The sequence below is a fragment of the Homo sapiens genome, chromosome 2, assembly GCF_000001405.40.
Source record: "Homo sapiens chromosome 2, GRCh38.p14 Primary Assembly".
NCBI lineage: Eukaryota > Metazoa > Chordata > Mammalia > Primates > Hominidae > Homo > Homo sapiens.
Window position 1 is genome coordinate 127,183,642 of NC_000002.12, and position 13,157 is coordinate 127,196,798.

The window sequence follows — 13,157 nt, forward strand, 5'->3', positions numbered from 1 at the left end:
TAACCTCCAATGATCCTCCCACTTCCACCTCCCCAAGTGCTGGGATTACAGGTATGAGCCACCACGCCCGGCCTCTAACACTATTGAAAGGGAAGGTAGAGCTCTCCGCAGAGCCTAATTTACAATCAGTTGTGCTGGTAAAAGCAAATAGTAATGGAAAATGAATGAATGATGAGATTATTGATCAGTCTTTTGTTTCTGAAGGCATCTTTTATTACGGAAATGTTCACACGTACACAAAGTAGAGAGCATAATGTCATGAGCCCCCACTCACCACCCTGCTTCCACAGTTAACAACATCTGCCTAATCTTGGGTCATCTCTTCCTCCCGCAGCCTCCCCACCTTCCCACACACACAATACCCACCTCCTGCAGCAAGCTGGGTTATTTTAAAGCAAATCCAAGATGCCATAACATTTCAGCCATAAACATTTATATCTTTAAGAGCTATCTCCAAGAGATAAAGTCTCTTTTTTTAAAACATAACTACCATTATCACAACAAAAAAATTAACAGTAATTCCCAAATATCATCAAATACACACAGTCAGCATTCAAATTTCCCCGAGTTGCTCTCTTTTTTTCATGCATTGGAAGAATTAATATTTTTGGCTTTTATTTTATTTTTAAAAATTATCTCTTAAATGTCTTTTTACAAGTGGTTTATTTGAATCTGATTCAAACGAAGTCCAGCATTGTACTTGGTTAATATGTCTCCTATATTGCTTCATCTGTAACAGTTCTCCTCTCCCCTTGGTTTTTTTTTTGCTTTTTGGTTTTTGTTTTTTTTAGATACGGAGTTTCGTTCTTGTTGCCCAGGTGGAGTGCAGTGGCGTGATCTCAGCTCACTGCAAACTGCCTCCCAGGTTCAAGCAATTCTCCTGCCTCAGCCTCCCAAGTAGCTGGAATTACAGAAGCCCGCCACCATGCCTGGATAATTTCTGTATTTTTAGTAGAGATGGGGTTTCACCATGTTGGCCAGGCTGGTCTGGAACCCCTGACCTCAGGTTATCCGCCCGCCTTGGCCTCCCAAAGTGCTGGGATTACAGGCATGAGCCACCTCGCCTGGCCCCTCCTCTTGTTTTTTGCCTGTCACGTATTTGTTTTGTTGGAAACCCGAGACATTGGTCCTATAGACCTCACTCTATTCTGGATTTTGCTGACTGCATCCCCATGGAGTTTGTTTGTGTGTTTGTTTGTTATGAAGTCTTGCTCTGTCACCCAGGCTGGAGTGTAATGGCGGATCACAGCTCACTGCAGCCTCAACCTCCCAGACTTAAGCAATCCTCCAGCCTCAGCCTCCCAAATAGCTAGGACTACAGGCATGCACCACCACACTCAGCTAAGTTTTTTGATTTTTAGTAGACAGGATCTCACTGTGTTGCCCAAGCTTGTCTCAAACTCCTGGCCTCAAGCAATCCTCCTGCCTCAACCTCCCCAGAGTGCTGAAATTACAGGTGTGAGCCACCACGCCCAGCCCCCATGGAGTTTTGACATCTCCCTGTATACCACATATTTCCTATAAACCAGTAGCGAACCTAGAAACTTGTCCAGCTGAATCTCCATTTCTTTGGCGTGGATGCTTCCTGGGTGGCGCCCTGCACTTCCTGCTACATCACACCAGGAGGCCCCCGTGTCTGGCTGCTTCCCTTCCTGTTCAGTGAGACTCAGCAGCGGGCACAGGTGCTACCCCCAGCCCGCACTTTGCTATTCACCCTGTGCTGATCCCCAGGCAGAGCCACACTTCACGAGAGGGTCACACTGTATGTATACCCAGGGAATAAGAGGTCACTTCAAGTCGCTTAGTTATTCTCAATATTTTTAAATTTCAGTCTCAAACAGAATGCAATTTCATCTAGTTTATAAAACTTAATATACGTATACTGCTACCTCAAAGTAATCAATCCAACACTTGGCCAGTTAATATGACCTAATTTCACATTTACCTGTACATTTACAGCATTCATACTAGAGTTATTCTGCTACCACACAGAGATTTCAACTTTATTATATACTTTAACAAAAATGGTATGTGAAATGGATATTATGTCTATTTACTTAAGGGTTATTTTGCAGAGTGACTTACTAAATGGAAAAAAAACTGTATGGTCTATATTAGTAAGAAAGTAATTTTTGGAGAAGGATTATGTAAAAGGAATTACAGAATTGGGAATAAGCTGTTTCAGGCATGATGACAAGGCAAGAGCATCAGGAAATCACGGTGTTTCCTCTTAGCAACCGGTGAGCAGCAGGAAAGGCAACAGAACTCCTCAGGACCCAGCACTCCCGGAGCCACGGCTTCCCAGAGAGCCTGGCACAGGCACACAACTGGGTGAGGGTTCTTGTGTGGATATTTAAAACAACACCATCAAGATAAAAATATTGTTGTATCTGTAGCATCTCTATTTATGTATTTATTTTCCCTTGAAATAAAAATGTTCTAAAGTTACATTGTTTTCCATGCTGCCTGTTTTATTACTTCTCACAACTTAGGCAACAAAATTTTACGTCATCATATTTCCAGTTCTTATACGTCTGCTCTACTCTGTATTTAGATTTGGTTAGAAAATCTGATTATTCTTGATTTCACCAGGAGCTTTCTTTTTTATTTATTTATTATTTATTTATTATTTATTTCTTCCAAATAAAAACTAATAGTCAACTTCATTAGGCATTATGACTAGAAAATTAAGCACTCGTTGTGGAGAGAAAAGTATTCTTATACAGCCATTTTATTTTATTTTATTTTATTTTATTTTATTTTATTTTATTTTTGAGAAAGGGTCTCACTCTGTCACCCAGGCTGAAGTGCAGTGGTGCCATCATAGATAGCTCACTGCAGACCCAACCTCCTGAGCTCAAACGATCCTCCTGCCTCAGTCTTCCGAGTAACTAGGACCATAGGTGTGCACCACCACGCCCGGCTAATTTTTGTATTTTTGGTAGAGACAGGGTTTCACCATGTTGCTCAGGCTGGTCTCGAACTTCTGGCTCAAGCAATCCTCCCACCTTGACCTCCCAAAGTGCTGGGATTACAGGCGTGAGCCACCGCACCCGGCCAGCCCTTTTAAGTTTGAGCCCTTTAACAGGATCTAAATCTGGTGCTCAGGATAAAATGTTGCCTCTGGTGCTTTCTTCCCATAATTACAGTATTACAGAGGCATTCTTAATGTTCCCTCTTCAAATTAGAAACAGTAAGTTGAAATTGCCTTCAACTTACTGTTGATGGCAATTTGAGCCCAGATGCCAGTATTAGAGAACATATATTGAAGAACTGAATTTGTAAGTAAACCACCATTTCCCTGTACAAGTAAATGCACAGGATACTGCCAGTCATTAAATATTGAGTCTAGCACAATGTATGAAGCATAAAAATTCACTGCCACTGGTTTTTAAACAGCTGTTTCCCCCAAAGAAAGGGCAACTTCTGGTATGCACCAGTAAAATAGCAACCTTTTTACATTACTTTGCATAAAGATTTACAAGTGTCCCAGGACCTGGGAGGCCAGTCTATAACAAGACAGCCTTTAGCGACATCGCTTTCCTTCTCCACGGTGATCAGCGAACACAAATACCCACTGTGTGTCGGCGAGCTGGTCTGCTACATCAGCCCAGGTTTAAAATCTAGGCTTACTTTCTGTTAACAAATCGCACGTGGATGGGCCCCCCTGGCGTCAGGAGCCCGTGGGTTTTTGCATGAACAGCATTGGTCTGAGAAGATGTTTTGATCTCAAAATGTTGAAGCAACTAAGAAGAGAAAGAGAGAGAAGGGGTCAGAATTGGAACAGCAGAAAATTCTCAGTGCTCCCTGAATGCTTTTACTCTTCCTGTGGCGGCACTGGGCTGCAGAGAGCGCAGGCAATGAGCACCCACATCCAGCTTTTGGAGGCTACAGAACCTCCAGGTCAGTGGGAAGCCCGCTGTTTGGAAACAGAACTTTAGATCCCGTACCAGAGCCTAGGCATGTCCACTAAGCAGCTGGGCAGCCGGTGGGACAGAGATGCAGGCAGATGCTCAGATGACTTAAGTTTCACTTGCCATTTCAAATTCTAACTCTTTTGCTTCCATTGCAGGTCTAGATGAAGAAGGCATCAAAGGAGCAGGGGGAAATGCGGAACAAAGTGAAATTCCGGGTTTCCTGCTGGTTCTGAAACTGCAGACACTTCAGACCCGGCCAGAAACAGAGGCGGAGAGAGCTGAATCCTCCGAAAGACTTCATCGTGCTACTATCCTGAATTTAAATATTCTTGGTTCGTAACTTTGATTCCATTTCTCATTTCTACAGTTCAAAAGCAGAACCAGCCCTGCCTCCCAGGGTAAAACTGGAATGTACCTACACGGTGAGTTTGAAAGAACACCTAAAGCAATTATCTCCCCCGGCGGCCGGCTAGGGTTTGGAGTTCAAAGTCAGCCCTGGGCTTAGGAATACAGGTAACCTGCTCTAAAGACTTCTGTCCACGGACAGGCTCCTGGGGGGAGGAGGGACCTTGCTTTCAGCCCATTTGGAAAGGGCAGGGGGCAGATGAGCTGGCAATACCATAGTCTCCTACTTAGCGCCCAGGCTGTCCCCGCCCTGCCCTTCCTCTCTGTCCAGCTTTGTCTCCCAGGCAAAGAAGCTGCACCCAGAATGGGCTGGGGCTCCAGGCTGGGACCCCATGGCGTGATCACAGCTCTCTGCAGCCTCAACCTCCTGGGCTCAAGTGATCCTCCAACCTCAGCCTCCTCAGTAGCTGGGACTACAGGCATGCATCACATCTGGCTAACTTTTTAATTTTTTCATAGAAACAAAGACTCGTTTTGTTGCCCAGGCTGCTCCTGAACTCCTAACCTCCAACGATCCTCCCACCTCCGCCTCCCCAAGTGCTGGGATTATAGGTATGAGCCACCACTCTCGGCCTCTAACACTATTGAAAGGAGAGGTAGAGCTCTCCTCAGAGCCTAATTTACAATCACTTGTGCTGGTAATAGTGAATAGTAATGAAAAAGGAATGAATGATGAGATTGTTGATCTTGGTTCGTACCTTTGATTCCATCTCTCATTTCTATAGTTCAAAAGCAGAACCAGCCCTGCCTCCCAGGGTAAAACTGGAATGTACCTACACAGTGAGTTTGAAAGAACACCAAAGTATCCATCACCCTAAAGCGATTATCTCTTTAAGGTATCTCTTTTAAATAATTAAGAGTCAGACAGGGCACCAAGGCTCAAGGGTCAAGTCTTGCAATGGGGACGCAGGCGGAACTCATGCCTTTGTCACTATTAAAGAAATGAGCTGAACAGCATGTTTTCAGGCAGCTACATCATGTGCTGGCATCTGGGTGGCTCAGCCTAAACACCTAACCTCTGACCCCTCGTGCTGACCTCTCAGAAACGCCTGCTCATTCCCATGCGGTAGAGGGAAGACTCACATGTGGACATGTGGGTCTCCTAACTTCAAGGCCATCGTGCCACACGGTATTTTTTCTTTTCTGAGTGGTTTGTTTGTTGAAAAAATTAAAACTATGCAGGAGACAAAAGACAAAAAACACTGCCCCCCCCCTCCGCCCCCCTACATCCAGTTTCCAGCTCCCAGGGAGCTGGGGTGGATCTTCCAAACATTCCTGTTCAATCAAATATCTTTTTCCTGATTTTAAGGGAACACATTAATATCACACCATGAAAGCTGTCCCTTTCCTTCCCAGTAGCCTTCAGGCATGTTCCTGTACTGTTGGGGCAGACGCCATTTATTTGGTTAAGAAAGGCCCCACTGTTGGGAGTTGAACAATGAGAACACATGGACACAGGGAGGGGAACATCACACACAGGGGCCTGTCAGGGGGATAGGGGGAAGAGGAGGGAAAGCATTAGGACAAATACCTAATGCATGTGGGGCTTAAAACCTAGTGGACGGGTTGATGGGTGCAGCAAACCACCATGGCACATGTATACCTATGTAACAAACCTACGTGTTCTGCACATGTATCCCAGAACTTAAAGTAAAATTAAAAAAAAAAAAAAAAAGAAAGGCTCCACTGTTGCTTCTGTGCCAAGAGACTTTCTTCATTAATTGGGGTTGAATTTTATCAATTATCTTTTGGGATGCTCATGTAATTTTCCTCCTTTTTATCTTGGTGAATTCTACTGACAGATTTTCTCTAGGCAGACCATCCTTGCATTCCTGAATACACCTGATGATATGTGAAGATGCCTTTCCGTTTTATACATTCAGCCTGCCAACTGTTGATTTTGCACATTTTCTATCTTCAATTATTAATCAGTCAGGCCAGCCTGTAGTTTTTATTTTCCATATCATCCTTTCCAGGTTTGAATATCAAGGTTATGCAAGTCTCACAAAATGAGACTTCCTTTTTCTATTCTCTATTTATATAAGATGATGATTACCTGTTCCCTGAAGGTTTGATAAAACTTGCCAATAACCCTGTCTAGGTTCAGGATAATTTAGGGGTAAATCTTTTTACCACTGACTCATTTCTTTGATCTGCTCTCACTGATTCGATATCTTAGGTCTGTTCTCTTTCATTTGAGTCAATTTGGATCACTTATATTTTTTCTAGTAAACAGTATGCTTTATCTAAGTCTTCAAATTCATTGGCAAAAAAACTGTTTTAGGTATTTTCTTGATTAAAAAAAAATAAACTCCTGTCTATACAGTTGTGCCTTCCTGCTCATTCCTGGTACTATTTGTGGCTTCTCTTTTTTTTTTCTTTTTTTTTTTTTTTTTTGAGACAGAGTCTTACTCTGTCACCCAGGCTGGAGTGCAGTGGCACGATCTCAGCTCACTGCAACCTCTGCCTCCTGGGTTCAAGCAATTCTCCTGCCTCAGCCTCCCAAGTAGCTGTGATTATAGGCACCCGCCACCAGGCCTGGCTAATTTTTGTATTTTTGGTAGAGATGGGATTTCACATGTTGGTCAGGCTGGTCTCGAACTCCTGACCTCATGATCTGCCTGCCTTGGCCTCCCAAAGTGCTGGGATTACAGGTGTGAGCCACAGTGCCTGGCTTTTTTCTTAACAATTAAAAATCATGGGCCAAGCGTGCTGGCTCACACCTGTAATCCCAGCACTTTGGGAGGCCGAGGCGATGGATCACTTGAGGTCAGAAGTTCGAGACCACCCTGGCCAGCATGGTGAAACCCCGTCTCTACTAAAGATACAAAAAATTAGCTGGGCATGGTGGCAGGTGCCTGTAATCCCAGCTACTCCAGAGGCTGAGGCAGGAGAATCGCTTGAACCCGGGAGACAGAGTTGCAGCGACCCGAGATTGCGCCACTGCACTCCAGCCTGGGTGACAGGGTGAGACTCTGAAAAAAAAAAAAAAAAATCATGGGCCAGGCACAGTGGCTCACACCTGTAATCCCAGCACTTTGGGAGGCCAAGGCAGGTGGATCACTTGAGGTCAATAGTTCGGGACCAGCCTGGCCAACATGATGAATCCCCATCTCTACTTAAAAATACAAAAATTAGCTGGGCGTGGTGATGGGCACCTGTAATCTCAGCTACTCCAGAGGCTGAGGCAGGAGAATTGCATGACCCCAGGAGGCGGAGGTTGCAGTGAGCCGATTGCACCACTGCACTCTAGCCTGGCGACAGAGCAAGACTCAAAAAAAATAATAAAATAAAATAAAAACCGTGATGCTCCCTTTCTACACTTGCCCAGGTAGAAATGAGGACTTTTTAAGCAAAAACTTTAGCAGTTATATTCATATGTTGACAGCAGCAAACAAGACCCCATCACGAGCTCCAAATACCATTTCACCGCTGGCCTCTTGCTCAGGTGTCTACCCCGGTTCTTCAGGCAGCCAGAGCCTGGGGGCAACAAGCATCCCTCCCAACTCACCGATGCCCTTCGGGAGGGTGCAGTGGCTGCGGGAGGCACAGCAGCATTTTAGGGAGCTGAGACCTTCCTGAAAACACTCCCCACAGCAGACTTAGTGCAGGGCTCAGAAGATGAGAACAGCTTCCACTTCTTGGGCACAGACTCTGTACGTGGACTGTTTTTACTCCTCACACACCTATCAGGCAGGGATTTGGCCCCTTTTGTAAATGACGTGACAGGCTCAGCTCAGGTGGCTGAGAAACCTGCCAAGGTCCCGGAGCCAGCAAGTGGCAGAACTGAGGGTGAAGCCAGCTTGCCCTGAGCTCCCCCTACACATCGAGCTGCCACTCACATACTCCCAGGGACAGGGGCAGCGGCCACATCCACACAAAGGTGGGATGGCCACTTGGTCCCACCAGCCCCACCCCAGCAGAGTCTCATGGGCCACCTGTGCCTCCAGAGCCAGCCCTGAGCCAGTGGGGGTTCTCCCCACACCTCGTTCTGTGCCTCCTCCCTGGGCAGTAGACCCTTACCTTCTCCAGCTCTGGTGCCCACCCTGAGCCTGACCATCCAGAATCCCTCTACCCCTCCTCCCAGCCAACCAGGCTTCCCTGGTCCCTTACTCTCCCTTCTGCCCAGCTCCGGTCTCCCAGTGAGCCTGGAGGGGGCACCTGCATGACTTGTAGGGGAAAAGTCAAGACACCTGGATCCTGCCCTGCACCTGCCACTGTGGGACTTGGTAAGTGGCTGTTGCTTTCTGAGCCTCGGTTTCCTCATCAGTAAAATGGGGAGATGAGGTCACCAGGCACTCCCCACATTCTCCAAATGTTCAGGCAACGATGGAGCTCCCAAACTTCGGGCCAAGGTTTCCCGTCGCTGAAACAGTCTTCTCCAACTTGCAGGAGAGGCTAATGGGTGGAATTTTCTCCGCCATTGACTTTACTTTTATAAAATTTCCTTCAGGTGTTATTTAGTTCCTGCTATAGCCTGAATCCAGATACGGTGCAAACCCAGAATTATGTATCTTCACATGTAAGGTGTTCTGTAACAACACCCAGGGCTTCCTGATGTTTCACAACCTAAGAAGCTTGAGAACCACTGCTCTGTGTAAATGGTTGGGTCAGTTAAACAAAGGAGACCAGCAAGAGCACCACTGTGCCTTTCCCGGGGGGGGGGGCTGCTGCTGACGGTGCCTGAGAGGCCAGCTCCTAACTGCAGACACGGCCACTAGAGGTGGAGGCGGGGTCCCCAATCCCCACAGGGCCTCGCTTAGACCTCCAGGGTTTCTCAGAGTGTAGCCACGCGGTTGGAGGACAGGGTGGGCACGGGAGATGGGGAGGCATTTTCAAAGGATATCATGCAGAGCTCTTATTTTTGGATAGGGTCTCACTCTGTCGCCCAGGCTGGAGTGCCGTGGTGTGATCACGGCTCACTGCAGCCTTGAACTCCTGGGTTCAAGTGAGCCTCCCGCCTCAGCCTCCTGAGTAGCTGGGACCACAGGTGTGAGCCACAGTGCCTGACGGCTCTTGATCTTAAGTTTCCAAAACCGTCTTTGCTTTTCAACCTGGAAGTCTTTATCCTGTTGTGCCCAGTAGAAAGAGGCCGAACCCAAAGGCCAACGTTTGGCCTCCACGCCCTACCTGGATCACGACGAGGTGAATCTCCAGTTCTGCAATTCTCCGCCCTATGCAGCTGCGAACCCCATGACCAAAGGGGATGGATCCAAAATTGTCAACTCTATCTAAGTCTCCTTTCCGCAGCCAGCGCTCAGGCCGGAACTCCTTGGCCCGAGGGAAGTTCTCATCCTGGTACGATGTGGCATAGTGGCAAAGGGCCAGCTGGGTCTGAGGAAATCAGGGATGACAGAAAAGGGAAAAGGGGCAGAATCACTCAAGAGCAGGGCAGGGCCCAGAGCCCTAGCCGGACAGTCTCCCGGGGTGCTCCCGCCTGGGGGCCGCCCGGGTCCACTCACACCCAGGATGGCAGCCGCTCCCCCCTTCCCACTCCACACTGCACCCCAAATGTCACTGCAGCCACTGAGAAGACCGTCGAGCCCTTCAGAGACTCCCAGCGGTGACTGGCCACTTCCACACGGCCTGGGGAGCAGGCCAAGGAGCATGGGCTGCCTTGCTGGTGAGCAGTAAGTTTCCAGAGCAGTGAGATCACACCATTCCCTTCCTTTCTCCCAACACCCCATCTTCATCTTAAAATACATGCAAAAGAAAAGGAAACCTATTGATCTCTGCTTAGGGACAAAGACTTCCTGAAGGTAGAAGCAGATTCCAATTCAACCCCGACCCGCAAGGCCTGGCCACCCCCATGGCCCCAAACTCACGCCTTTCGGAATCAGATACCCGCCAATAACCAGGTCTTCCTGGGTGACCCGGCCGTTCCCTGGCAGCACTGGAAACAGCCTGGAAAAGAGCCAGCGGGGACGGGAATGGCGTGGTGACTTTCACAGTATTTTATTGAACGTTCAGAACCCTGGATATATTCCCATTTCCATTAAAAATTCTTAAAAAGTAACACATGGTACATTTTCAACTGAAACATTTTGCAAGGACCTTTGCTGCTTCTTTGTTGGCTTGCTTTACCAGCGAGTATTCTGAGGAATGTGGAAAAGACTCCCAAAGCAAAACATTTGCAAAACACAAAGCCAAGCCTTTCACATGCCATTGTGTTCCCAGGAGGGAAATTCCAAGTTTCTAATATTTTATGTGACCACGGGACCACTTTATCAAGGAATAGTTCATAGGACTTAAGGCCCCATGAAATGCATTTGGAGAAAAGATACTTCGGCGATCGGATTATCTCAGAAAACCCTGAATAAAACTTTAATTGACAAATACCAATAAACCCCACAGCCAGCTGCTTCTTTTTTTTTAATTTTGAGGTTCAACAGCATGCTATATAGGTTGACGGTCATTATCAAGTCAGCTTTGAAAGAATTCTTTAGTATATACTGCAGAAAACAAGCTTTGCTTTTTGTCGCAGCATTTCCTCACAGAGGATGCCGTGTTTGGGGGAAGGGATGTAATCCGTCCCTAATCCCACCTCCTACCCAAACCATCCCCTCAACCCAGGACAACCCACATCCCTCCGGCTTTTCTGTTTGTCAGGAAAGCCCTGTCTGGGAGTAATTGAGCCTCACTGGGTGGCGTCTAAACCCAGATGAGAACATTCACTCAAGAACCATGAGGTTTGTATCCAGGTCTGCAAATCAGCTGAACAGGTCAAACTATTTTCCTAACAAATCGATCTTGTTTCGTGTTATCTTCAGAGGAACAAAGTCAAAGGCCATTGACCCAGGAACATTTTGGGAAACCCCCAGTAAGCCAATTGGCTAAAGCAGGGACAATATTCAATGACTGCTCCAAAGATCTTTTTTCTTTTTTTTTTTTTTTTGAGACAGAGCCTCGCTCTGTTGCCCAGGCTGGAGTGCACTGGTGCAATCTTGGCTCCATCACCTAACTTCAAGCGATTCTCTTGCCCCAGCCTCCCAAGTAGCTGGGACTACAGGTGCCTACCACCACGCCCTGCTAATTTTTGTATTTTTAGTAGAGACGCAGTTTCACCATGTTGGCCAGGCTGCTCTTGAACTCCTGACCTCAGGTAATCTGCCTTGGCCTCCCAAAGTGCTGGGATTACAGGCGTGAGCCACTGTGCCTGGCCCAAAGATCTTTACAGAGAACAAGGATTATGTCGACCCATAAAACAGAATGGTCTTTCTGCTATTCTGACAAGAGCAGAGAAAAAATAACAGTCACGAACATCCTCATCCTGAACAGGTCAGCCGGGGGGGCATTTGGAGGACTTGTTGTGATAGAGAACCAGGGACCTAAGGGACACAGTTTGTTGACGGATTCTGGCGAGCCTTTTACCTCAGGGTTTCCTTAAGGAGAGCTCTGACCAGCGGGACCTTGGGGACATCAGCTGCAGTTGGAACATGCCTTTCCCCTAAATTCTTCACAATCTCCCGGTACACCGTCTGCTGCACTTCTGGGTGCCTTGCCAGGAGGTACACAGTCCAAGACAAGGTGAAGGACGTCTAAGGAGAGAAAGTGGCAGACACAGGCAGGCAGTGAGTAACACCAGGGACTGAAACAGAGGCGGTGGCAGGTAGGAAGTCCCCTGGGAATACACACAGCACAAAGTCAAACTCATCCAATTCCATATAGCACCTAATGTCTTACTAAAAACGAAAGACTGTTTCCTTAATTCATGGCAAATAAATAAATAAATAAATAACTGAACGTATTTGGCAAGTGACATTGACTCTATGATTCATGTGCTCCTGTCATGAAGAGCCACAGGAAAAATGATCCTGGAGCTTTTTTTAATCACTGAAGAGCAATATGTCAGGGATGCCGTGGAGCCTGGAGGATCTGCTGGGACTTTGTGTGACCTTCTTTGCAGGGCTTGCTCGGTGTGTGCCAGAAAGGGCCTCAGGCTGCCCCCCGGCATCCCCAGGATGCTGGGCCCGGCCCACTCTGGCTGCCCTAATCTAGAGATTGGAGTGCACAGGAGATCACTAGTTAGCCATCGTGTCCTGCCTTCATCAAGTAAGGTCCACACAGAGCAAGTCAATAACTCGTCTATGCAAAGCAGTGTCTTTTTTTTTTTTTTTGAGACGGAGTCTCGCTCTGTCGCCCAGGCTGGAATGCAGTGACGCGATCTCGGCTCACTGCAAGCTCTGCCTCCCGGGTTCATGCCATTCTCCTGCCTCAGCCTCCCGAGTAGCTGGGACTACAGGCGCTCACCACCACGCCCGGCTAATTTTTTGTATTTTTAGGAGAGACAGGATTTCACTGTTAGCCAGGATGGTCTGGAACTCCTGACCTTGTGATCTGCCCACCTCGGGTCTCCCAAAGTGCTGGGATTACAGGCGTGAGCCACCACGCCCGGTCAGCCATGTCATTTTTTATACCTCTTCTCAAACCTTTCTACTTATTGAAAATAATTGTTTTATTCTCGTAGGTCCCAAGATTTTCGCTAAAATCAATAGTATCATCTATGGGACTACATTTCACTCTCTAGTAAACAAGGAAATGCCACAGTATAAAGGCCTTTCTCTTTCACCAAAAAAAAAAAACTAATTTAAGCAGGCAATATTGATATCATTTTCTTGTAGAAGATATCACGTGTTTTAGAGGGCAGCCCTCTTGTATATATAATATAATGTGCAAGGTCTTATAAATTATAAAAGATTACTTAGATGCTTCCTATCAAGAGAATAGAAAATTTCTATTTAGATCACATTTTTATGGAAAAAATGTGGTATATCCATACAATGGAATACTACTTAGTAATAAAAAAGAATCAATTACTGTTCTATGCCACCACAT

At 46.8% G+C, this 13,157-nt stretch overlaps 1 protein-coding gene across 4 annotated transcripts in view; it reads right to left on the reverse strand.

The window, feature by feature from the left end:
• Window positions 191-13,157, reverse strand: part of CYP27C1 (cytochrome P450 family 27 subfamily C member 1) — a 36,468-nt gene continuing 23,501 nt past the window's right edge. For all 4 annotated transcript variants that reach the window (NM_001367501.1, XM_024452838.2, NM_001367502.1 and 1 more), the window contains 4 exons: window positions 11,694-11,860; window positions 10,148-10,226; window positions 9,453-9,656; window positions 191-3,746 (listed from right to left, as the gene is read on the reverse strand). In NM_001367501.1, the coding sequence (NP_001354430.1) occupies window positions 3,630-3,746; window positions 9,453-9,656; window positions 10,148-10,226; window positions 11,694-11,860 (567 nt within the window). In that variant the 3' untranslated portion in view covers window positions 191-3,629. The remainder of the gene's footprint in view (window positions 3,747-9,452; window positions 9,657-10,147; window positions 10,227-11,693; window positions 11,861-13,157) is intronic.